Here is a 27,392-nt window from a genome sequence, read left to right as displayed (position 1 = left end):
ATCCTACGTAAAACATGGCGGCATCCACTAGCAGACTCCCCTTACAACCCTGTGGTCTAATCTCCGTTTTCTAGATGGTTGAAGAAACTCTACCGTATTTCATGGTTAGAGGCAGCAATCGGAACCCGTTCTGTTGATGTCCCTTCTCCATCTCCCACGCTGGCCTAGGAGAAAGATCCAGGGCCCCACGATGGCCAAAACAAACATTTCCTCTCTGATGCTGAAAGGGAAGATATCAGCAGAACTCCACAAAACCATGAGAGCCTTCCAGGGGCAGGAAACAGAACTCTTGCCCCACGAGCCTTCTGTTATGGGTGGCTCTGAATTACTTTAATTTAAAGATTTCTGTCTTAATTCCATTCATAAACGTAAACCCATCTTTAATTTCCCAAGAAGCGGTCTTCTGGTCAAAAGCAACGCTCCTAAGCTTTAGAAGTTTTTAAGTTTCACAGGTCATGCTTTTAAAGAGTGGGATCCATAAAATGATGCCACCCCGATATTCAAGGCGCTGTTGCCATTTTTCAAGGCTGAAGTACAGACAGGGGAAAGGAGCCAGCATAAACTTTAGATGGGTAAAATAGCTCTACTCCCTAAGTCAAGAGCATTCAAACTTATTCAAGACCACATGATTTTTATTGCAATAAAGGGGTACTGAACACATCAACTAGAAAAGCTTTTACCTAAAATGTACTTGTTTAAAAGGCCAATTTCTTATAGGAAAAGGAAACGAAATTTCCTCCAGAGGATTTAGTCTGAACTGATATGCACAATATAGCGGGAAATTGTCATCTCCAGTTATCTGATGGACTTATAGACCTTGAGGGGAAGAGAAAGGAGAGAGGGAGAGAGGGAGGAGAAAAAAAGAGAAGGGAGACCATCTTCTATATGTGCTTTGATAATCTCCTGTATGGTGAAATTAAATGTACTTTAATTTACAGTATGTACTTGGATATAGTCATTTAAATACAGTCATTTTTGCTGTGTGTGCAGCCAATGTTGTATCTTCACATTCACAGATAATGCTATAAAATCTGGCTGTCCATTAGAATCTCCAGGGAGCTTAAAACTAAAACCACGGCTAAGCCTCATCTCAGACCAAATGAATCAGAAGCTCTGGGGTAGGGCCCAGGTGATTCTGCAGAACAATGAGAGCTGAGAGCCACTGCTTTAAAACAGACACTCTGCTCTGCACAATGAACACGCTCTTGCATACAGAAACCTTTTAAAATACACTAGAACTTGCTATTGAAAGTCATTCTGCAATGACGCTTTTCAGGCAAGAAAGCCACCCTTCCTCTTGGGAGGACATGAATCTGAATTGTTATACATCGTGCTTGCCTCCAATCATGTGAATGTTTACAGAGTGAGGAGGTCTGCTGCAGGACGAGCATGCATTTCTTCCTGCATGTGTATCGCACAGGAGCCACCCAGACTTTACATTTAAATTTGTCTTCCTACAGCATTTTCTCATTTGAGGCTATAAAGGAAGTAGGTCAGATGATATCATCACTATTTTACATTGACAAGGAAACAGAGAGAATGGAAATGACATTCTAAAATTATCTTTGAGACAGGACTAGAATACAGGTTTCTTTGCACCTAATGTAGGCCATTTCATCCTCCACTTTTGTTTATAGATGTGTGTGCATATATATATATATGCGTATATATAAAAAACATACATTATACATTACTTATTTTATATATATACCTAATATAAATAGATATTACTATATCTAATTTTGTGTGTGTTTCCTGCAAATAAAAATATTAAGCTACTGTTTAACTTACTTTACAACACCCTCTTCAAGGTTAATAATGGGCTTAGCTCTATCAAAATTACATATCAAGTCTGTAAGTAATAAAAGACATCACATCGGAGACATCTGCCTTTCTTAACCTTAGGCCGGCAGGTATGAGAAAATTGCAAGAAGGCATTACAAACAGAAAACCAAAACCTGCAATCACATGGAAGTGTTCACATCTTATTTAAACAGCATGTACAATAGATTGGTATCAAACTCCATTTTTATTTTTGGAAAACATAACTTTCCCTTAGATGGTTTTCTAGCCTCATTTCAGCAAAATGGACCTCGATTTCAAGATTCAGATGTGCTGCACTCTGCTTGCAGGCATAGCTGCAAGGGCATCGTTCTGCTCAGTGTTAAATGTGAGCTCTAGGTAGAAAGCATCCCTTACAGATCTGAGCCATTCCATGCTTCACATTGGCTTTGCGTGGTATGCTGAACTCAAAAGGCAATTACTGCTTTCTCTTGCAATTTATGGAACCCTTCTAAATCTTTATCCCTGGTGATAAAAGCATCAAAATGAAGACAAGTTTTGAAAAGAAAGTGACAGGGAAAGGATCACATACATAGACTCTTCTGGGATTTTTTTTTGAAAGTTATTTGCTTATTTCAATAATATTTGTCAAGATGAAAAGACACCAGTGGATTCCTCGGGCTCTCAGTGTCCAGGCAGCAGCTGCTGCTCTGTTGATAGAGGGAACATCTGTGAAAGATTCTGGGCAGTGAGGGGGAAGATTTCATTGTCAGCAAAAATAAAGCTTTAGGAAAAACCAAGTCCTGGGAAGCAAGAAGGAGCTTGGAAAAAACACTGAAACCTAGCATATGAGGAGGCCATATCGTATATAATTAATCACAAAAATGCCAAGTCTTAGCAGAAGGGGAGGAAGGAATGGATTCCTTACTGTGAATAGCGAGGTTCCCAAATATCGTCAAAGGAATTGCTTACTCCTGCTTGAACTCTGGGAGCGCAGAAGGATCTGATCGAATCACAAAAGTCTACAATGAAAGGGGGTTCACAGGTTAATGAGTCATTTTACAGATGCCGAAGCTGAGACACACAGACGCACTTACGTCTTGATGTACCATATTGAATTAATAATTTGCTCATTACGGAACCAAATAGTTACATAATAATGAGGGGTTTTTTCTTGGTTTCCTTTTGTTTTTCAGCTTTAATAAAAGAAATCGCATCAGATATATCTATCTTTCTTAATCTTAATCCAGCAGGTATGGGGAATTGAAAGAGGGCATTCCAAGCAGAAAACCCAAACCTGCCATCACATGAAAGTGCTCAGATCTTATTTAAGCAGCATGTACAACAGTTTGGTTATGAAACTTATTTTTTCTGTATAACTGATACATAAAAATTGTAGATGCATGTGATATATACATGTGATATTCTGAGACATGTATGCATTGTGAAATGATTAAATTAAGCTGATTATCCTAACCAGATAATACTGAGTTTTATCTTCTGCTTTTAGAATCTCTCTTTGATATCTTTGCACAGATACTGTCTTTTTCTTGGAAGAGATAGCTCAGAAATTTCTTGCAGACTTCTAGCTATGACTCCTTGGACAGAGTGTGTGTGTGTGTATGTTTTGCTTTGCTTTATTGTTTTATTACATTTTCTGTTTCATTGTAAAGTTTAAGGGAGTTTCCACAGATACTATCCCGAGAACATAGGGTTATTTGCCAAAACAGCTCCCAGTTTTTTTTTTTTTTTTGGAGCAATGAACTGAAGGCTAATGGACAGGAAACTGAGACTGCATTTTCTTTCTTTCTCCCTTTAAGAAATTAGCCTTTGGAAACATGTTTAATACAGATCTCCCATTTGAGGCCCTCGAAGAATAAGCCTACCATCTCAGAGACACTGAATACTCAAGCAAGAAAATGGCCACAGCAATTTCTCGTCTATGATGGCAAAAACCATTCATCATTAAATAAAACATTTAAGCAGTAATTTAAATATTACAGGCTGTGAAAGTGCTCAGGCAGTGAATAGGAACTAGAATTAGAAGCCCATTCCTGTCCTTGAGCAAATAATTAAAACCTTACTGTTTCTCACACTTTTCTACAAAAATGGAATGAAAATGCTGGTCATTCATCCATCTCACATGAAACTCTGAGAGCTCATGAATAGTTACAAGGTTCTTTCTCAAAGGGAGATCCTTGTGGAAGAGGTGAGCAATAAACAGCAGACATTCTTTCCTGAGTTTTCCCTGATAATTCTGATTTCAAATTTTCTGTTCCTTTCCCAGGGCATATGTCAATCTTTTTGCCAGGTTTCTCTGCTAATCCCAATCAAAACCCTTTTCTTACGGTCCTTAGACACAGATAAAATCTCCTGAAGTCAGAGAATCCCAAGAAAACCCAAAGAATAACTAGAGAGAAAAGGCTTAAGTAATTTCTTTAGTATTAGCATAAGGCATTTGTTAATTTGCATGACTGATTTACAAATGTCAGAAAACAGCCCTTTGCTAGTTTCCCCACACTCTTCATTTTTCTGGGATAAAACTGCAAATGGCAGTACAGCAAGCCCGTCCTGGACTCTCTCTCCCCACTTAGAGGAATCTTCTGTACTATCTATGTTCATGTGTCTTAAAGAGTTCATTTTTTTCCCTTAAGATTTTGTTCCAGGAGAAGGCAGCAAAAGAATCACTGTTTTGGCCAGAAGTATTAATAAATACTCCTTATTTTTCTCCAGCTTTTTCAGACTCAACACTCTGGCTCACATGGGGGTAGAGATTGGTTTCCCCTTGTTCTGAATGTTTTGAAAAAGGAACTTCATGGGACAGGATGATTTCAGGAAAAACCAGAAAGAAATTTGACCCAATAGGTTCCCCATTAAGTATACTCTTATATATTGGTCAGAGGTCACAAATTAGGTCTTATTTAACAGATAAGCTCTATTTGTGAGGAAAAAAATATCAGGACTCTGAGGCAGGAACAAAGATAGGAGAAAGGAAGTAGAAAAGTCAAGTAAAAAATATCACCAAGAGAATTCAGAAGCACCCGAGGTAGGACAGATTCCCGGAGGTCAAAGGATCTTAGGAATCATCTAATTCATTTTTCCCTTATTCATGATTCCCTTCCACAATATCTTACATAAGTGGCTGCTCAGACAAGTTTTCTCATATCTCCAATGAAAAAAAATCTTAGTAATTCTAAGACATTTACTACCATCCGTTTTCAAGGATACCCACTTTCATAATCTGCAAAAAGACAACTGGGACAGATTCAGAACCTATTCAGTGTTGGGGGGCGATTTTGTTTCAAAAGTCAAAATGTCGTCACTGCTTTAATACCCTTCTATCAGTAGATCATGTAGGCATAAAATCGATAAGGATATGAATGATCTGAACAGCATGGCCAACTTTATGTAACTGAATATATAGAATACTTCATCCAAACACAGTAGAATATACATTTTTCTAAAATCCCATGGAAAATTCACCAAGATAGATCCCATTATGAGCCATAAAACACACCTCAAAAATTTTGACAAATATAGACCATACAAAGTATGTTTTCAGGCCACAAAATAATTAAATTATAGATCAGTAACAGAAAGATAGCTGGAAAAATTTGCGACATGCAGCAAAAGCAGTGCTTAGAGGGAAATATGTAGCATTATCTGCATATATTATAAAAGAAGAAAGATCAATAATCTGATTCTAGGTTATGAAATTAAACTTAAAAAAGAACAATTTCAACCTGATACATGTAGAAGAAAAGAAATAATTAGAGGAGAAGCCAATGATTGAAAACAGAAAAACAACAAAGAAAATCAATAAAACAAAAAGCCAGTTATTTGAAAAGATTAATAACCACCTTTTGTTATATTGATTTTCTTTGTTGTTTTTCTGTTGTTTTTCTTTGTGGAGACACAAATTGCCAATATCAGATATAAAACCTGGGTCATTATTACTAATCCCACGGACGTTGAAGGGATAATAAAGAAATATTATGAACAACCCTATAACTACAAATTGGATTACTTAGATGAAATGGACTGACTCCTTAAAAAACATAAACTACCAAAACCTACAGGAGAAACAGACAATCTGAATAGCCCTATATTTACTAAAGAAATTAATAAGTAACCTTTCTTCCTCCACCTCCCAAAGAAGTGTACCAGGCTGAGATGGTTCCGCTGGTGAATCCACCAACAATTTACTAAAGAAATAATGCCAATTCTCCACATTTTCTTCCAGAAAATAGAAGCAAAGAAAGTGCTTCCTAAATCATTCTGTGAGGCCAGCATTATTCTAATATCAAAGCCAAATTAACACATTATAAGAAAGGAAAATGACAGTCTAATATCTCTCATGAACATATATGTAAAAATCCTCAACAAAATATTAGCAAATACAATTCAATAATCTGTAAAAAAATTATACACTATGACCAAGTAGGATTTATTCCAAGTATGCAAGGCTGGTTTGACATTAAAAAATCAATTAATGTAATCTACTATATCAACAGGCTAAAGCAGGAAACTCATATGATCACGTCAATTGATGCAGAAAAAGCATTTGAAAAATTCTAACATTCATTCATAAGAAAAAAAACTCTCAAAAAGGAATGCACAGAAACTTCCTCAATTTGATAAAGAGCATATATTTTAAAACCTATTGCTAATATCATTCTTTTTAGTGAGATCCTGAACAATTTTCCCCTGAGACCACGAATAAGGAAAAGATGTCCTTTCTTATCACTCTGATTCAGCATCATACTGGAAATCCTAGTTAATAGAAAAAAATACAAGAAAAAGAAGTAAAAGCTATACAGATTGGAACAAAAGAAATAAAACTGTCTTTATTTTAGATGGCATAATTGGCAATGTAGAAATAACAAAGAATCTACAAAAATATGCTGGAAGTAATCAGTAACTATAGCAAGATTACAAGATACAAGGTCAATATACAAGTTAATTTTTCACCATATACAGCAATGAACAATTGGAGTCTTCCAATTTGAAATGAAAAATACCATTTACAATCGCATCAGAAAAAAATGAGAAATATTTAGATATAAACCTAACAAAATATTTATAGGACCCACATACAGAAAACTTCATAACACTGATGAGAGAAATCAAAGAGGATTTAAATAAATGGGAAATAGTCTGGGTTCATTTTGAAAGTCTCAATATTGTTAAGATGTCAGTTGTTCCCAATTTGATTTATAGATTCAATGCAATTTCAGTAAGAATCCCAGCAAGTTATTTTGTGGGTATCAGCAAAGTTATTTTGTGGATATCAGCAAACTGATTCTAAAGTTTAAATGTAAAGACAAGAGACCAAGAATAGCCAAAACAATACTGAAGAGGAAAAACAAATATGGAGGATTCACACTACCCAAATTCAAGACTTACTATTAAGCTATACTCATAATAATCAAGACAGCATGGTGTTAGTAAAAGAATAGACATAAAGATCAATGTATCAGAATAGAAAGCCCAAATATAGACAAACACAAATATAGGCCATAGATTAAAAAAAAAAAAGATGCAAAGGCAATTCAATGGGGAAAGAATGGTATTTTCAACAAATGGTGCTCTAACAACTGGATATCCATCTATATAAAAATGAACCTAGACACAGACCTACACCTTCCATAAAATTAACTCAGATATAAAACTATGAAACTTCCAAAAGAAAATCTATATATAACTTTGGGTTTGGTGATGAAGAGGTTTTTTTTTTTTGATACTATATCAAATGCACAATATATGAAAGAAAAAAATTGACAATTTGGACCTTTTAGAATTAAAAACTCAGCTTTGAGAAAGACACTTTTAAGAGAAACAGAACCAGAAATACCATTTGACCCAGCAATCCCATTACTGGATATATATCCAAACGATTATAAATCATTCTACCATAAAGACACATGCACACGTATGTTTACTGCAGCACTATTTACAGTAGCAAAGACTTGGAACCAACCCAAATGCCCATCAGTGACAGACTGGATAAAGAAAATGTGGCACATATACAACAGGAATATTATGCAGTCATAAAAAAGAATGAGCTCATGTCCTTTGCAGGGACATGGATGAAGCTGGAAGCCATCATTCTCAGCAAACTAACACAGGAACAGAAAACCAAACTCTGCATGTTCCCACTCATAAGTGGGGGTTGAACAATGAGAACACATGGACACAGGGAGGAGAACATCACACACCGGGGCCTGTTAGGGGGTGGGGGACAAGGGGAGGGAGAGAATTAGGACAAATACCAAATGCATGCAGGGCTGAAAACCTACAATACAGGTTGATAGGTGCAGCAAACCACCATGGCACATGTATACCTATGTAACAAACCTGCATGTTCTGCATGTCTATTCCAGAACTTAAAGTAAAATTTTAAAAAAGAGAGAGAAAGAATCAAAAAAGACAAGCCACAGTTTGGAAAAAAATACATTTGCAAAATATGTATCTGATAAAGGACTTGTATCCAAAATATACAAAGAACTATTACAACTCAGCAATAAAACTAACAAGCCAATTAAAGTATAGGCAAAATATCTGAATGATATCAAAGAAGATACATGCATGGCAAGTTAAGTATACAAAAAGATATCCACTGTCATTTGTCACTTGGGAAATGACAATTTAAACAACAATGAGATACCACTAAATACCTACTAGAACGACTTAAATTAAAAAATTGGCAATGCCAATTGCTGGTGAGGATGCGGAGCAACAAACACTCTCATTCATTGCTGGTGAAATGCAAAATAATATAGCCACTTTGGAAGACAGTTTGCCAGTTTCTCACAAAGCTAAACAGAGTCTTCACTTATGCTGCAGCAATAAGGCTCCTAGGTTATTTACCCAAATGATCTGAAAACTTATGCCCACATAAAAACCTGCGCATGAATATTTACAGCAGATTTATTCATAATTGCCAAAACTGGAAGCAACCAAGATGTCCTTCAACAGGTGAATGGAGAAACCAACAAACTAGTACATCCAGACAAAGGAACACTATTCAGTGATAGAAAGGAATGAACTATCAAGCCATGCAAATACATAGACAAAACTCTGTGAAGTAGAAGAAGCCACTCTAAAAAGGCTACATACTATGTGATTCCACATATATGACATTCCGGATAAACCAAAATTACAAAAACAGTTAAATATATCAGCGGTTGCCAGAGTTTAGGGTGAAGAGGTTGAATAGGTGAAGCACAGAGGAATTTTTAGGGCAGTGAAACTATTCTCTATGATAATATAATGGTGGATGTGTGCCACTGCATTCGTCGTTCAAACCCTTAGAGCCTTATAGTACAAAGAGTGAAACTTAATTTGTGCAAATTTCAAAAAACATCATTCATAAGGTCCAGGAATCCCAGGGTGGAATTCAGAATGTCAAAAGAAAAGTCTGACTCTATTACACACATTTGAAGCAACCTCACCAAAGGCTATGAAGGAAAAAATATTCTTACTTAAGTAACTTCTGAAACGAGTGAAATATGTAAGGCCAAGGGCGAAAGAAGCTGTACATAAGCACTGCACTGTAGTTGATAAAGTTGTTTCTTAATGGGGTGTAGGTATGGCTTAACATTCTGAAACCACTATACACGTGAAATTGAATGTATACATAAATGGATGGCATAAAGTGGGAGCCAGGTGTCTCACTGTTAGAGTGGGAGTTTCCAGATAAACAGGGAGAGAAGGTAATGGAATAGAGCTGAAGACATCAGTATGAGCTTATGTTAGCTTACTATTTATATAGAGGGTTACATGTAGAGATATTTAGGGATATATGTATATGCATGGGTTAATGTATACAAATATTTCCTTGCTCTGTCAGCTGAGAGGGCCTAGATGCAATGACAACCCGGTAGCAGTGAGCACACCTCGTGTCCAGGTCTTGGTTTCTAATATAATTTTTGTTTTTTGAGATGAGTCTTGCTCTGTCGCTCAGGCTGGAGTGCAGTGGAGTGATGTTGGCTCACTGCAACCTCCCCCTCCTGGGTTCAAGCAATTCTCCTGCTTCAGCCTCCTGAGTAGCTGGGACTACAGGTGTGTGCCACCACGTCTGGCTAATATTTTTGTATTTTTTTTTTAGTAGAGATGGGTTTTCACCATATTAGCCAGGATGATCTCAAATCTCCTGACCTCGTGACCTGCCCGCCTCGGCCTCCCAAAGTGCTGGGATTACAGGTGTGAGCCACTGTGCCCGGCCTATTTTCTAATAAATAGAACCAGGACTCCCTAGAGAAATGGCTGATTCTAGGACAGGGGAAAGAAAAATACAAGATGTACATAAAATATCTTGTTTTTGAGCAGGTAAGTACTCAAAATATAACAAAACAAAACCCACATGAGAATGTGTCAAAGGACATATACATTAGGAGACAACTGAACAAGAGCATCCCATGGCCAAGGACAGAACAATTCAAGCAACAAAATTAAGGAGTAATGAATTACAATCCAAAGTATGAAATTAATATAAATCAGTGAGTTCATCTGATATAAATAAATAATTTAATACCTAAATAAATGGGAAACGAGAGACATAACTTCCATGCAGAAGAATTCCAAATACTTCTTGTAGATATCCTGCCCTGAAGTAGGTGAAGCATAATTCCCCACTCCTTAAGTGTGGGCTGCACGTTGTGACTTCTTCCCAAAAAGTGCAGTATGGTAAGAGGTGGGAGAAAGAATAACTTTGTAGTGGAGAAATGCGATCAACACCAGATGACTGAGGTGGACATCAACCATGAGAAGCCATGTTGATAGCATGTACACTCGATATAGTGGGATGGGAATGGTGGTCCTTCACTTCTGTGCTCTTCCTCCCCCAAACCCATAATCCCAGTGTAGTCATGAGAAAAACATCAGCCAAATCCCAATTGAGGAGCATTCGACAAAATATCTAAGCAGTCCTGCTCAAAACGATCAAGGTCATCAAAACCAAGGGAGGTCTAAGCAACTGTCCCAACCAAGAAGAACCCAAGGAAACGTGACACTAAATGTACTGTGACATCCTGGATGGAATCGGGAACAGAAAAAGGACATTAGGTAAAAAGCAAGGAAAACAGAATACTGTACAGGCTTTGGGTAATTAATCATGTATCAATACTGGTTCATTAATTGTGATAAATATACCATACTAACACAAGATATTAGCAATAGGGGAAACTGGATGTGGGGTTGATAGAATTTCTTTCTGCTATATTTTCCATTTTTCTGTAAATCTATAACTAAAGTGGAAAAAAAAAGTCTACTAAAAGCAAAACAAAACATGGCCATTGGGTCAGGATCTTGCACTTTGCCAGCACTTTTCCTGGGGATGGCATATAGGGAGGTGTCTGAGGGGTCTGTTTTCCTTGAAAATGACTCCAAAGTTTGGAATAATTGAGTGGGGAATGTCACCACCAGTCTGACCGTTAATACTTTGTACTAATATGCATAAGATTTTGTGTCGGGAAAATGCCAAGTATAACGTCCATTATAGTCTAACCTTCATTGAGACATGAAAGATACATGAATAAAAGCAGTATCTCATAAATGCCACTACAAGGGTGATAGAAGGTGCAATAAAAATTCTGAGGATGAAAAGATCACAGCAGTTGTATTAGTCTGTTTTCACACTGCTGATAAAGACATACCTGAGACTGGGTCATTTATAAAGAAAAAGAGGTTTAATGGACTCATAGTTCCACGAGGCTGGGGAGGGCTCACAATCATGCGGAAGGTGAAAGGCATGTCTTACATGGCAACAGGCAAGACAGAAAATGAGAGCCAAGTGAAAGGGGAAACTCTTTAAAAATATCATTAGATCTCATGAGACTTATTCACTACAATCCTCCAGAACAATATGGAGGAAACCACACCCATGATTCAATTATCTCCCACTGGGTCCCTCCCACAACGTGTGGGAATGATGGGAGCTATAATTCAAAATGAGATTTGGGTGGGGACACAACCAAACCATATCAGCAGTCATGAATGACAACGTAGGAGTGCGGCACAAAGGAGTGAGCAGGGAATTCCTGGTGTAAGAGTTCTTGTAGGCAAAGGTGCAGAGGTAAGAAATACTTAGGATTAGTTCAATTTAACCAGACCAATGTATTCATATGGTCAAGTTAAAAATGAGGCTACAGGCCAGGTGTGGTGGCTCAAGCCTGTAATCCCAGCACTTTGAGAGGACAAGGCAGGCAGATCACGAGGTCAGGAGGTCAAGACCATCCTGGCTAACGCGGTGAAACCCCATCTCTATTAAAAATACAAAAAATTAGCCGGGCGTGGTGGCACATGCCTGTTGTCCCAGTTACTCGGGAAGCTGAAGCAGGAGAATCAATTGAACCTGGGAGGCAGAGGTTGCAGTGAGCCAAGATCGTGCCATGGCACTCCAGCCTGGGCGAGAGACTCCATCTCAAAAAAAATAAAATAAAATAAAATAAGGCTAGATTTTATGTGACAGGCAAAAGGGAGTCTTCTATAGTTTCTCAGTAAGAAAATCACAGAATTAAATAAAAATTTTAAGTAGTGATTCGCCTGCATACATTGCCTCTCTCTCTTTCAGTCCAATCTAGAAAGGCTTCTGCCTGGCCACCAATGCGTTGGTTGTTGTTGTTATCTACTTCAGTGTTGTCATATCGAATAGACACACTTGTAGTTTTATCTCTAGTTTCTCAGCTGAATTTAACACTGCTATTGATTGCTTTCCCTTGAAACAAAGTTTTCTATCAGTGTCCGTAACACCACCCTTCCTGGATCTTCCCCTTCTCTCTCCAGCTACTCTTATTTGCTGGTTCTTCTTTCTCTCTCCACCCTCTAGGTGATGTGGTTCTTCAGGTCCCCCCTCCTCCTTTCTCCTTTTCTTTTCTTATGCTTCTCCCTAGTTGACCTCATTTATCCCCATGGCTTGGTTTATTTCCATCAGTTTGATTTTTTATTCCACAGTTTATATCTCAAGCCCAGAATTCTTCTCTAAGTTCCACTCTTATAGACACAGCTGTCCATGGGACTCCTATTCTTGGATGCCTAAGAATTATGGAAGAACTATCTCAACGCTGACATGTCCAAAATTGGTCTTTCAACCTCCCCTCCCTCCACTTCAAATCACCCCCTAATCTTTCACATTTTCATAAACGGCACTACCATCACTTCGTTCTGTACAGAAACCTTAAAGTCAGCCTCGATTCTGCCCTTGGCCTCACTGCCCCCGCACCCCACCATCCAGTCCAGCTCTGTGATCTTACAATTATGCATTTGTTTACATATTGTTGTCTGTGTCCCCCATGAAATCATGAAATCCAGAGGGATAAACTATGCCTCTTTTTCTACCGTGGCATGCAAACTCAGAGGCTGATACACAATAACCATGCACACATTTAAAAATCAATCTGCTGGGCTGGGCGTGGTGGCTCACACCTGTAATCCCAGCACTATAGGAGGCTGAAGGGGGTGGATCACCTGAGGTCAGGAGTTTGAGACCAGTCTGGCCAACATGGTGAAACCCCATATCTGCTAAAAATACAAAAATTAGCTGGGTGTGGTTTCGGGCATCTGTAGCCCCAGCTACTGAGGAGGCTGAGGCAGGAGAATCGCTAGAACCCGGGAGGCAGAGGTTGCAGTGAGCCGAGATTGCGCCACTGCACTCCAGCCTGGGTGACAGAGCAAAACTTCATATCAGAAAAAAAAAAAAAAATCAATCTGCTGGAGCCTGTAATCCCAGCTACTGGGAAGACTGAGGCCAGAGGGCTACTTGACATCAGGAGTTTGAGGTCAGCCATTGCAACATGGCAAGACCACATCTCTACAAAAATAATAATAAAAAATAACTAGCCGAGCACGGAGGCTGCAGTGAGCTAGGACTGCACTAGCACACTCCATCCTGTAAGACAGAGGGAGACCCTTGTCTCTAAAAATAGTAATACATTAAAAAAAACATCTGGCCACAAGGGGTACTGGCAGTTTCAAGATGCAAAGCTTAGTGAGGAGGCTAATGCTCCAGTCAGGCACCATGTCCCTAATTTATACTCCAGCCTCTTATGTAAGAAAAATGGGAGGTAGAAAGGGCACAAATGTGAGAGACATTAAGAAGGTAGGAGAGACAGAATTTTGTTACTGCTTTGATAAGAAAGGAGAGGGAACAAAGATGGTTCAAAGGTGTGGAGCCCAGGGAGACAGATCCACAAATCACTGAGAAAGGTGAGCCTGGAGAGGCAGCATCGGACAAGCACCATGAAGGCTGCCTGCTGGGAGCCTGTGCCACACGTGTGTCTGGCTTCCTCTCGTGCTGTTAATGACTTTTATAATTTTATTATCTATCACATCAAACCAAAGTTTTGTCTGAAGTGGGATGTTGAAGATTTCTCGTGAGCTTCCTCATTGTTATGCAGAGGAAAGGCTTTTGGGGTCAGGTAAAAAAATTGGGTCTGACTTGCAGGATGGTCCCTACTAGCCATCCCTCGTAACAATGGTCATTCACCTCTGCAATCTTGGAATCTTCTGTAAAATGGCAATAACTACTTCATGCAGTTGTGAGAATTCTAGGGAATACACATGGTCTGGTCTGGGCTGTCGCCTGTCCTGTGGTGTTTTTGAGCCCAGCTCACCCCTCATTCTTTTTGTTAAGTTCAGGGGTACATTTGCAGTTTGCTATATAGGTAAACTTGTGTCTTGGGGGTTTATTGTACAGATTATTTCATCATCCAGGTGTTAAGCCCGGTACCCATTAGTTATTTTTCCTGAGCCTCTCCCTCCTCCCAACCTCCACCCTCTGATAGGCCCCAGTGTGTGCTGTTCCCCTCTATGTGTCCGTCTGTTCTCATCATTTAGCTCCCACTTATACGTGAGAACACGCAGTATTTGGTTTTCTGTTCCTGAGTTACTTCGCTAAGGATGATGGCTTCTAGCTCCACCTATGTCCCTGCAAAGGACACCATCTCGTTTTTCATGGCTGCATAGTATTCCATGATGTATATGTACCATATTTTCTTTATCCAGTCCACTACTGATGGACATTTAGGTTGATTCCGTGTCTTTGCTATTGTGAATGGTGCTGCAATGAACATACATGTACAAGTGTCTTTATGGTAGAATGATTTATATTCTTTTGGGTATATACCCAGGAATGGGATTGCTGGGTTGAATGGTAGTTCAGTTTTTAAGTGTTTTAGGAATTTCCACACTGTTTTCCACAGTGACTGAACTAATTTATACTTCCACCAACAGGGTATGGACATTCCCTTTTCTCTGCAACCTCACCAGCATCTGTTATTTTTTGACTTTTCAATAATAGCCATTCTGACTGGTGCGAGATGGTATCTCATTGTGATTTTGATTTGCATTTCTCTAGTGATCAGTGATGCTGAGCTTTTTTTTCATATGCTTGTTGGCTGCATGTATGTCTTCTTTTGAAAAGTGACTGTTCGTGTTCACATCCACTTTTAAATTCCTCATCATTTCTAACATGGGGCTGTGCACGCACTGTTCGCATCATCACGATTCACAATCCTTGATTATATTCCTACCTAGTTTCAAGGCATAGTGTGGGAATAAATGAGATAATGCTGCCTGCCCCTAATTATCTACTTTCTAACTGATTTACAGCAAGGTCTTACTCTTGGCCTGGCCTCACCCTGACCCAAGGAGATATTGGACAGCTTCTCTGTACTGCCAGTTGCTGTGTGCTACGGAAAAGGAGTTCACCTTCAGCATCAGTTTAATGAACACAGTTGGTAAGGAAAAATACCAGGTACATTCCCAAATCAAGCATAGGTGCCTTTGAACATTATCTGTGGTTTTGAACTGAATCTGCTATTGCTTCGTTTACATTAACCAGGTTGATGAGAATGGGCTATGTGCCATAATGCTAACAGGGCTTAAAGCTCTTTGGAGAGAAGATAAGCCGTAAACACAAGGCGTTATCACAAAAGTTTTATGCATGAGAATGAATCCTCAAAAGTATGAAAGGTAAGAAATGACATCTTTCTTTTTGCTAAATTTTTTTCTTCACAGAGCTGACTTTAAAAATACACACACACACACACACACACACACACACACACACACAGAGTTTTCTGTGTCTGTAGGAGGCTCAAAAACTTCAAAAATTGTCGGTGAGTACACCTGGCATTCAGAGCTCTAAAACGCTGTCCTAAGGTGATTCTTGGATATCTGAGAAAGCCAGTTTTCATAACAGAAGCATCTTATTCTTTACTGTTTGTGGTGATAGGCCAATTTTGCATTTTATCTTCTCTCCCCTCCGATTCCAGTGTAATGAATGCATGTTCTCAGGGGTTATTTATGCAAGTATTTCCATTTTAAAAACAAGACACTGGGGAAGGGAGAAGCAACTTTGAGACTACCACTAAGGACCCTAGGGAAAAGGTCCTGTAAATGGATCCGGTATGGGATTTCCGCCCTGAATCATGGACTATTTAGTCAATTGATTTGATCATCAATGTTTTATTGAACCGACTCACCTGCACACCCTTCACAAAGCTATCATCACTCTTCGAAAGGGTTATTCTCTCCTTTGTGCTACTATAAACATGGCATTTGTCCAGAAGTTGAGGTCCAGCATGAAATGCAGAAGAACCTGGGCTATTTCCTGGCTTTTAAAAATGATTCTTGTGCTACGGGTGATCCTACTTGTCTCTATATCTGGGATCTTTGGAAAGGCCCTGGGTATATTGAAATCTACCCGTGAGTAGCTCTAGAATATTTGTGTTCAGACCATTTCCACAAAGTTCTCCAAATTGTTCTTCTCTTGGCAAATCTTTACTTATTTATTTATTTATTTTTATTTTTTTTTTTTAGATGGAGTCTCGCTCTGTTGCCCAGGCTGGAGTGCAGCGGCATGATCTTGGCTCACTGGAACCTCCGCCTCCTGGGTCCAAGTGATTCTCCTGCCTCAGCCTCCTGACTGGCTGGGACTACAGGCACTTGCCACCACTCCCGGCTAATTTTTGTATTTTTAGTAGATACAGGGTTTTACCACGTTGGCCAGGATAGTCTCGAACTCCTGAGCTCAGGCAATCCGCCTGCTTTGGCCTCTCAAAGTGCTGAAATTACAGGTGTGAGCCACCGCGCCCGGCCTTATTTATTTTTTCAAGATGGAGTCTCGCTCTGTCACCCAGGCTGGAGTGCACTGGTGCAATCTTGGTTCACTGCAACCTCCGCCTCCCGGGTCCAAGTGATTCTCGTGCCTCAGCCTCCTGAGTAGCTGGGATTACAAGAGCATGCCACCACACCTGGCTAATTTTTGTATTTTTAGTAGAGACAGGGTTTCACCATGTTGGTCAGGCTGGTCTCGAACTCCTGACCTCAAGTGATCCAGCCATCTTGGCCTCCCAAAGTGCTGGGTTTATAGGCATGAGCCACCTTGCCCAGCCATAGCAAATATTTATTTAAATGCCTACCATGTTCCAGGCATTGTACTGGTCTCCCTTAGGGGAACATTGATTTGGGAACAGCTTGACCAGGTGGAGATCAGGCTGCAAGTTGATGTCAGGGGCCCCCTTGTCCATAGTGGAATGATGGCTGTCTCATATCCCTAGGGACAAGTCCAGAAACATCGATCTTGCCATCACATTCTCATCCCTGTTCTCAACACGTTCCTTGAGGATTTATTGGCTCACCTCTTTAGGCTGAGGGCCTTCACAGGAAGTTGACACACAACAGTCTGTGCCAACTGCCTGATGTAGGAAGGGCAGCGTGGCTTCGGAAACCTTGTTCCAGAAGTGTCCTGACTGCCCTCAGTGTGAGTCACGACCTTCAGCCAACCCTGAGGGAGTAAACACCAGGGAATCTGGGGTCACCTTCAAGTGTCTCAGAACACTCATGACACCATCCGAAGTCAACACTGGGTGACTCGTGGTTATTTAATGCTAACGTACTTGAAGTGCGCAATTGGAAATCCAATTCACTTCAGAATGTAAGAGGACTCCTTTCTTTGTTCTACAGGCTTCAGGAAGAAAATAAAAAGTTCTAGGATTCCACCATTGCCCATTTCCAGCACTTTTTGGTTTAATTTAGGCAATTCTCTCTCCTCCAGCCTCACACAAACCCAACATTTAAGCTAGTTTGAAGATCAAATGCAGAGTTAAGCAAGGCTGAAGTAATCAGAAACTAGGAATTTGATATGGTGTCATCTATTGTTTTTAACGCATTGGACAAAAAGTCAGGAGAGTGGATTCATTGACAGATGTGTACCACTGTGATAAAAACACAGTTTTGTAATATATTTGTGTTTTGCAGCTAGGCAACCAAAAATGACTAACACACAGGAAGTATGCAGTTGTGTGCTTCTTCTAGCCAAATTATGGGAATTATAAATCTCTTATTTTCTTTACGCGAATGCTTTCTATGTAAAAGAAAAAAAAAATAAAAGAAATACAGCCCCTTGAGTTTTGTGGGCTTGTTTTTGACTGACTTCTTTCCCACAGCCCTTTCATTTTCTTTCCTTAGTCTTTCTCACAGGGTAAGCAGTAGGAAGTTTTGTTAAAAGAAAAGAAGGGAGTGAATTGTAAGTTATTATTATTATTTTTAAATCCTCCAAGGACCTAAGGAAGAGTAACACAAAATGACGAATCAAACTTGGCTTCATTATGGGTGACATATTATACGAACTATGTTATATTTTTTAAGCTTTTAGGAAATAGACTGGTATTAAGGTAAAGACTTGCTATAAAATAGCTATGATTACATTGCAACTCAGATTCTAACAGTCTGCTATAAATACTGTTTGAATTATTACTGTAATTCTACAGTATCCTTCTGTCGGCTTTTTTTTTTTTTTTTTTAAAGGAACTCCATGGCATTCAATAGCTCACAGTTTGTATTGCCGTTTGGAAATCTTTTCACAGCCTAAACAATTGCTTATAGATATCTAAGTGGGGAAACTTTCATTACAGTACATCAGCCAGGCATTTTCAAAAGAGGAGTCTTATACAACTTTTCAACAGAAATTGCTGCCTCTTGACCCATGACTGCCTATAGTTTAACTTTTCTACACGGATACACTCATGCCAGGCAGGCAAAGAGGTAAATATCATAGAGGATTGAAGAAATGGTGGTGGTGGGGTTGGTGGGGGAAGAGAACTTGGCCAGGGGGGTTACAGGTTGCTACTGCCTGGATTTTGGAAAAGGTAGTTGTGTGTTAAAAATGAGATGACATCAGTTCCAAAAATTTGCAAACTGCCTGAAACATTGAGAAGCTCCATTAGAACATATGCACCACGTAACACAGAAGTCAACCTCTGGACGAGCTGAGAGTCACCATCTCAGTTCAGCCAGGCCACTGTGTGTGTCCCAGTCACCCCATCCTCTCTGTTTTGCTTCTTATCTCTGGGGATGTTGGCTGGCTTGAGTCCTAGAGGCAGAAGAACATGCTAAAGCTTTTACTAGAAAGGCACTCAGAAAAAAACCTAGCACCTTATGTCCCAAAGCCTGCTGTGCCTACAAATGTGACAGATCAATTCCCTTGGAATAACATCTGGGAAGGAATAAAGATATTTAAGTCCAAATTCCATAAAATTATGGCACAAATTGATTGAATTGATCAAAATCTCAAATTCATAAATTTACAGGAAGTCATCCCTGGAAAGACCCTTCTCTGAAGTCTAGATACATAATAGATCATGAGTCTCAGATATGGGGTGATATAGCCAATCAAGGTCCACAGCTTGTTAACAATTAGGTTGGAAGAAAGATTCAGGGTTCCTAACTCCCGGATTATGGATTGATTTATAATCAAAAGTATTTTTAAGCTATTCTGTTTTTACTGTATGAATAATTGTGACTGTTTTCCTGTATCATATCATGCTTTGTTTGCCTATTTCAACTTTCATCAGAAAGGGATCAAAAGCGGAGAAGAAGAACAGGTTTGCAAGTCAATATTCAAGATACGTATCAGTCCATAGGACAGTGACAAGATAACTATGGTGAGAAGATAAGATTGATGACAATGAACCATTCCTCAACACAGGAGATCATCTTTGTGGGTTTATTCTGTGTAATATAACTTATAAATCTATATTACATATTTTTCTTTTCCATTTGATCCCCTCTTCTAAACTCTGGTCTTGGACATATATGCTGTTTTTCATTTTGTGTTTTGGTGGACAATTTTGGAAGGTCAATTTGCAGCAAGTGTTGCTACTTCTCCTTATGCCTGTGACAGAAATGACCAACCAGGCTCAGCATCACTTTCAGTGGGATCATGCATTCCTTCATCCATTGCTTATTCAATTCATTCCTGTCCTTCCATGAATACTTTTTGAATGCTTACTAAAGTACTTCAGAATATCAGTCTTAGCCCTGGACATTCTTGGTCTAACATACTGTTTGGAACATAAATATTGGTTTTATAAATGAGTGACCAAATCCATTTTATCTGTTGATTTCTTTGTAATTATAATAAACATAACATAAAAATGACCATTGAAACCATTTGAAGTGCATAGTTTAGTATCATTAAGTATACTCACACTGCTTTGTAACTAATCTTCAGAACTCTTTTCATCCCAAACTGAAATTCTGTCCCCATTAAACAGCTCCCCATTCTCCCCACACACAGTGCCTGACCGCCACCACTCGACTTTCTGTCTTTATGAATCTGACTATCCTGGGCACCTCATATAAGTGGAATCATACAGTGTTTGCCTTTTTATTGACTGGCTTCTTTCACTCACCGTAATGCTCATAAGGTCCATCCGTGTTGTAGCATGGGTCAGAATTCCCCTCTTTTTTGAGGCTGAATAATATTCCATTATATGCATATACCACATTTTGTTTATCTATTCACCTGTTGATGGCTACTTGGGTTGCCTCTGAATGAATAATGCTGTCATGAATAATGCTGCTGTGAACATAGGTATACAAACACCTCTTTGAGAACCAGCTTTTAATTCCTTTGGGTACATACCCAGAAGTAGAATTGCTGGATCACCTGGTAATTCTGTTCGCGGTTTTTTGAGAAACCATCATACTGTTTTCTGTAGCAACTGCACTGTTTTACATTCCCACCAACACTGTACCAAAACTTGTTATTTTCTGCTTTTTTTTTTTTTTTTTTTTTTTTAAGACTAGCCTTCCTGACGGGTATGATGTGGTATCTTGCAGTTTTGATTTGCATTCATTTATGGTTTTGATTGATTCCCTAATTCAAATTAGTTTTATTTTTAAAGGTGTTTTATTCTACTCTCTAGTGAAAAATGAGATTTATAACTTACACTTCTCCACTCAAGATTTGCATTCTTTGCTTTATTTTATTTTTGTAATGGAACACACATGCTTTCTCTCTCCTACATACATATTTTTGCCTAACAATATTCTTTGCATAGAGAAAAATCAAGTCAATGACAGATACGACACACAAGTACTTTTAAGAAGTGTTGTAAGGAGTAACTATCCTGGATACCTGAATCACAAGCATAAATCAGCTCCCCTGTGACACGTTAGGGAATATGAATACTTTCCATGGCTAGAGGAGGGACTAACATAATCAGTCTACTTTAGGTCATCCTTGGTAGCTAGGGTGAAGTATATGATCAATTACTGAAAATCAGTGGATGAATCCTGTTTCGCTATGTCTTTAAACTCTTTTTTCTTCACTGATGCTTTTCCAAACTAGTCTCTTCTCAGGTTGCAAAGATAAATGATTTGCATTTTATATTTTTCCTATTTTCCCTACTTATCCTCAGAAGGAGACGTGATGAAGAAGTGAGAGTGTTAGCAGTGAAATAATTCTTAACAGAGTTAATAAAATGAGAGAGGACGGACAAAAATCCCTGAGTACCCCATTATTGAGATGTTTACCTTCTGCATACTCTGGGGTGGAGGCTATCATGTGCTCATGGGGATATGCAAATATTTGTAAAATGCAGGAGAATAAGTCCTTCAGTACCCCAGGGATCTGGGTCAAAATATCAGAATTTCCTTCTAACTCCTGCAAAACAAACAAACAAACAAACAAACAAACAACCCTCTTTGATCTCAATAAAATTTCCAGGAGGGCGCAGAATTACTTAGTCCTACTTGATTAATTCTATCCTATCTAGAGCATTCCTTCACACCTCATTCCCTGAAAGATCCCAGGGAAGGAAGTCACAACACTGCATTTTATTCCCAACCAGTTATGACTCTGTGCACAGTTCACGGCCTCATTTGTACATTAAGACATCCACATCTCTGGATTCTAAAGGCTAGCCACTCCCTACATGGAAATTCTATAATTCTGCTTCTCTTGATTACTTTGCACAAACAGCAATGCAAATTCTGGACCTGAGAGACAAAAATACAAAACAGAGCCCCTAGAACAAAGCATTCTTTATCTTTGAAGGCAACTCAGGTGCTCTCATGGGTATTTCCATTTTCACTGTATCTATTGTTTCCATTTCATCATCTGGATCTCGAACTTCTCAGAGATAGAACCTTCTGTCCACTCACAGTATTTAGTAAAGCACAGAGATGCAGCTTCCATCACTGGGTTCTGTCATAGACAGGATTGTCAGACAAAAATACAGGATTCCCAATTACATTTGAGTTTCAGACAAATGACAAGTGATTTTTTTTAGCATAAGCATAGCCCATGCAATATTTGAGACATACTCACACTCAGTAATTATTTATTGCTTATCTGAAATTCAAATTTAACTGGATGTCCTGTATTTTTATTTGATAAATCCCAGAACCTTAGTCATAAACCATTGTGTCTGAGACCATGAGTCATGGACAGTGGTATACGTGAATTTGAAGTCCATCTTGACCACAGCTAGATGAATAACTAAGCAGGTTACACAGCCTCCATGATCCTTGATTTCCTCATCAGCTGAATGTGAATAATATTCAAAGGAGAGCCATACCAAGAGAAATGGGCATCCAGGAAAAACTAAGGATTGTTTTTTTTTTGCCCCATCCAATCACTATTAGTTAAATATTGGCATATATTTATTTAGTGAAAATAGGAATAATATATTAGAAATCAACCCTCTTATGGTTTGATTACTCTGGCATTTGTTTGGCTCTACAGCCCCTTTATCTGACTCTATTCCTAGTCCTGCTGTAAGGATTAATATCAGAGATTTGAAGTCTTAGTACAGCTCCTGGCAGAGAGTATACGCTCATTGGATATAGATAATATTATTGTTATTCTTAAAAGATCTATGTCTGAGTAACCCACTCATGAAGATGATCTTTGGACATGGCTTCACAAGCATCTTTTAATCACAGCTTCAGACCTGAGAGATAATCTGGTCTAATTTTATCATTTTGCAGATAAGGAAACTGAGGCCTTGGGAGAGAAAGGAATTTACTCAGAGTCCTCTAGGCAGGTGGGGACACAGCCTGGGAGGCTCAGGACTCTTTGCTGCTATATTACTTTGCAGAGAAGTCCACCAACACTCCGGATACCTAGATGGCTGCTGACCAAATCCAGTAAAGACTGACCCCTACAAAGCAAAAATGACAGGCACATTTAAGCACATGTGCAAATATTAGCTTTACCATTATGAAAGTTTATGGGAACACAGGAATCTTGCTATCACCATTGGACACTTAAAACATCGGTATCCAGCTGGGCGCGGTGGCTCATGCCTGTAATCCCAGCACTTTGGGAGGCCGAGGTGGACAGATCACAAGGTCAGGAAATCAAGACCAGCCTGGCTAACACAGTGAAACCCCGTCTCTACTAAAAAATACAAAAAATTAGCTGGGCTTGGTGGCGGGCGCCTGTAGTGCCAGCTACTTGGGAGGCTGAGGCAGGAGAATGGTGTGAACCTGGGAGGCGGAGCTTGCAGTGAGTCGAGATCGCGCCACTGCACTCCAGCCTGGGTGACAGAGCGAGACTCCGTCTCAAAAACAAAACACAAAAAACAAAAAACAAAAAAACAACAACAAAAAAAATCGGTATCCTTCCCTCCAAAACCCCACTCAAATCAGACAGGGAGGCTGGAGCTCAGGATCCTACCATAGTCATCTCCAAATAAACATCAATTTCCGATTGTGAAACAGCCCCAATGAGTTTCCAAGTATCTTTGGAAACTATTAAGACGCTTGTGTAGATTATAATTACAAACGCTTATTAAAACAGTATGCCCCGGGAAACAGAGAGGACAAACAATGACAAACACAAAGGTCACTGCCTGATGAAATATTTCCATTAGGTGGCCCAGGTCCATGTTCTTTTCCTGATTTTCCTTCTTAATCAGAGGCTCAAAGAGGTGTCGATGAGTGCTGGAGAGTTAACGTTCCATGAGAATTGAAAGCTTCAACTTAACAATTCATTGTTCTAAATATGTTCTTATGTTTTTTGGCAGCTTGAATGTGCAAGCGCATATCTGAGCTGACCTCTGGCTGCAATTCACGCACAGTCTGTGCAGCAACAGAGACTAAATATTTCTGACATTGCTTAAGAAAGGAGTCACTTTAAGTGGGTTTACACTTTGTATTCTTACCAAAAGTATGGTTCAACATTAATAGGGTTAAAGCTCCAGTTAGAGAATGTGCATAACTATTATCCAAGAGCCATGGGGGCAGGGAAAGGGGAAAATCTCAGATGAGCACTGAAGGATGGTTTGACAAGGATCTCAAACATCCTTAAGTTTTACTTCATTTTATTCTTTTCTCTGCAGAGTCTTGGTTGAAGATGTCAGGTTCCAGATATGCATTTGAATTTGGGGGGTTTTGTGGATAAAACTGAGAGGTGAGAGGTACTGTGAGATGAGACAAATGGAAAATTCTAGGAAACCCTGTTTTTGTTGGCCAAATAAATAAATACATTTTGAAAATCACACACTATTAATAACATTCTTGGGTATGGCTGGCTCAGACAACACAGCTCATTATTTGGAAGAGAAAACAAAAGGCTTTCGTAAAGTTCTTGCATAGATTTTAATATACCAGACTTTCTATTTTTAAACTTTAATGGCTAAAATTTGTTGTATAATAGAAACAAATTCCAAATGGTATTAGAAGGGAAAATGAACTTTTATCTCTCAGTTGCAGCTAGCTTTGATTCTATCTTCTGTAAAACAAACATCTCTCTCTCTCTCTCTTATCTATCATCTATTTATCTATGTATCTATGTATCTATGTATCTATCTATCTATCTATCATCTGCTAGATCTATCTATCCATTCATCCATTCAGCTATCTACCCATCTATCCACACGTACACACACACACGATCTGAAATAAGCATACATACTTAAACATTAATGGTGTGTTTGAACAAGTTTTATGCTTTTTCTCATATATAAAATGGGTATAAGAATAATACTTGCTTTACAGGGTCGTTGCAAGAATTAAATAAGCTCATAGATGTCAAATGTTTAGAACATTGTTTGGCTTGCAATGATTAAATAGCAGGTGAGATCCATACTTATAAAAATTTATTAATACGATTATCTCTGCCGCATTTAGGTTAGTATTTTTAAATGAATAAAAATTATGTTGATGTTTTTTACATTTAACATAATTCAGCCATTCTATTTTTTTTTGTGCATAAGAAAACATGCATACACAGATACACATACAGACACAGCTCAGATAACAAAAGCCCTTATGTTATTTCTGTCACCTACAGTTTAGAAAGCATTGTATGCCAGTTTGAGGGAATCCTTGAACTTGAAAGGTCACACAGTGTGTTAAGGAATAGCCATTCCTACAGCCAGATCCCAATTTCCATTCCTGCGAGTGCCCAGATCTTTACTCTCAGCTCATCCCACAACCCTGGGAACGCCTGCAAATGCAGACCCAGCAACCAAGATGCTGTGAGACAATGTTCAGATACGGAATTTTTACTTAATTAATATGTGATATTCAACTACAGACTCACTATGAATTTATATTTATAACTAGAGCACTAGAAGGTACAGGCCATACCTATATTTTTTCTGTTTCTTTCTATGCACATAAAAAGCTTTAAAAAGTCCTTTCTAATTGTGATTTTTTAAAAAAGAAAACTACAGAAGAATTAAATTACATATGCCATTTTAAGGGTCTTTTTTGCTCCATTTCAAGAAAATATTTTATTCTCAATAACCCACATATATCTAAACACTTAATAAAGTAAGTAAACTATTTCTAAAAAATCGATTTTGGATTTATCTAATGAATTTAACCTTGCCTCACAAATGAAAATTTTAGATCTGTACAGAAATGGTCTTTATAAGTAGATTCTTTGGAATGCATTAGTCCTGGGTAAGCTATTAGGGCCAGCCAGCTGCTTTCCAAGCAAGACAAGAAATATAAAATCTATAATAAGTAAATAATCCAATTTTCTTTACTCCAAATGACTAGGTTTTGAAACTTGTTCAAAAACATGTTCTCTCTCTCCTTCTCCCCCTTCCTCTTTCTCTCTCTTTCTGACATATGAAAAGAAAGGAAGCAAAGAACCTCAGTAGGAGAAAAACAGTGAAACAGTAAATCAGGTCTATATATTAAAAGCACAGGTAGTTAATCGCTTAAAAAGACATCTTTTCCCCAGAGGTTCTTCAAACTGAAGGTTGAACTTCTGGCTGAACACATATAATTAATCTGTGGAATGCAATCCAAGGGGTTTTGAGGGCATTTTATTTTGAGTAAAAATAATATCATGCCTCAACTAGTGAAGCAGCTTTGCCAACTTATAAACACATGACTGCATATGCATTACTATTATTTCTTCTAAGCACTGTTTATGTAACTCCTCTCCTTGAGGCAAGGAAATCTCTTCCTTTACTGCAGAATTTGCCTCTGAGATAGTCAAGAGGCAATGACTTCCTGTCTATTAATACATTTGTACAGAAGCAAAGGAAGGCAGAAACAAACAGCCAGACAGCAGCTAAAGTCACAGGGCGGCATGGCCCCTGTAGGCCGGTCCCCTTCCAGGCTCTGGGGATGCAGAGGTGGTGACATCCAGTCCAGAGCATATTGCATCGCAGCTGCAGAGGAAACACAGGCTCTAGAACAAGCAACCACAGCACAACGTGGTACCTGCCAGGCGGCCACATCAACAGGTGGTTGTGAGAGAATAGAAAGGGAAGGAGTGGCTGCATTGTGTGTAGTCTGTGTGCCAGCTCAAAACATCCACTTCCTGTTGGCCACCGATGCCCCAAGGCTTCTCAGCAGGGGAGAAATAAAATCATCCTTGTCTTTTAATAAAGTAATCCCCAGCAGGGCATGGTGGCTCCCAGCACTTTGGGAGGCCGAGGCAGGAGGATTGCTTGAGCCCAGGAATTCGAGACCAGCCTGGGCCAAAAAGCAAGACCTCATTTCTACAAAAAATTTAAAAAATTAGCTGGGCATCGTGCATCACCACATACTCCCACCTATTCAGGAGGCTGAGGCAAGAGGATTGCTTGAGTCCAGGAGCTTGAGGCTGCAGTGAGCTATGATCGCGCCACTCCAGCCCGGGCAACAGAGCAAGACATGATCCTTAAAAAAACAAAAAACCAAGGAAACCCCTGCAGCAACTGTGGTAAGCCCTGGAGCTGGAAGAGAGAGTCAGGAAGCCCTGTTAGAGGCTTTCAGGACATTTCAGTAGAATGATGGAGGCCTCAAGTCAGGCGGAAGCAGGAAGACAAGAAGGACTTTAACCCTGGAGGGGGCTTCCAAGGAGAACATGA

The 27,392-nt window shown here is 39.1% G+C and overlaps 1 protein-coding gene across 24 annotated transcripts in view, besides 1 other annotated feature; it reads right to left on the bottom strand.

The window, feature by feature from the left end:
* Positions 1-27,392, bottom strand: part of CELF2 (CUGBP Elav-like family member 2) — an 874,126-nt gene that overhangs the window by 487,809 nt on the left and 358,925 nt on the right. For 9 of the 24 annotated variants that reach the window (XM_047424494.1, NM_001326323.2, NM_001326320.2 and 6 more), the window contains one exon: positions 2,711-2,804. The exons of the other annotated variants lie outside the window; for them this stretch is intronic. Coding sequence is in view for 3 of the 9 variants with exons in the window: in XM_047424482.1 (XP_047280438.1) it covers positions 2,711-2,804 (94 nt within the window). In the remaining 6 variants the exon portion in view is untranslated. The remainder of the gene's footprint in view (positions 1-2,710; positions 2,805-27,392) is intronic. 24 annotated transcript variants of the gene reach the window in all.
* Positions 16,943-18,142: an enhancer, noted in NCBI's record as "CDK7 strongly-dependent group 2 enhancer chr10:10872688-10873887 (GRCh37/hg19 assembly coordinates)". NCBI's record gives its function as "activates an origin of replication core promoter dependent on BRD2, BRD4, P300/CBP, MED14 and CDK7 cofactors, with strong dependence on CDK7, by STARR-seq in HCT116 cells {active_cell/tissue: HCT116}" and the evidence as "EXISTENCE:reporter gene assay evidence [ECO:0000049][PMID:35650434]".

This window comes from Homo sapiens, chromosome 10 (genome assembly GCF_000001405.40).
Source record: "Homo sapiens chromosome 10, GRCh38.p14 Primary Assembly".
Classification (NCBI taxonomy): Eukaryota; Metazoa; Chordata; class Mammalia; order Primates; family Hominidae; genus Homo; species Homo sapiens.
The sequence above is the reverse complement of the archived record's forward strand: the minus strand, read 5'-3'. Positions and strand labels throughout refer to the sequence as shown.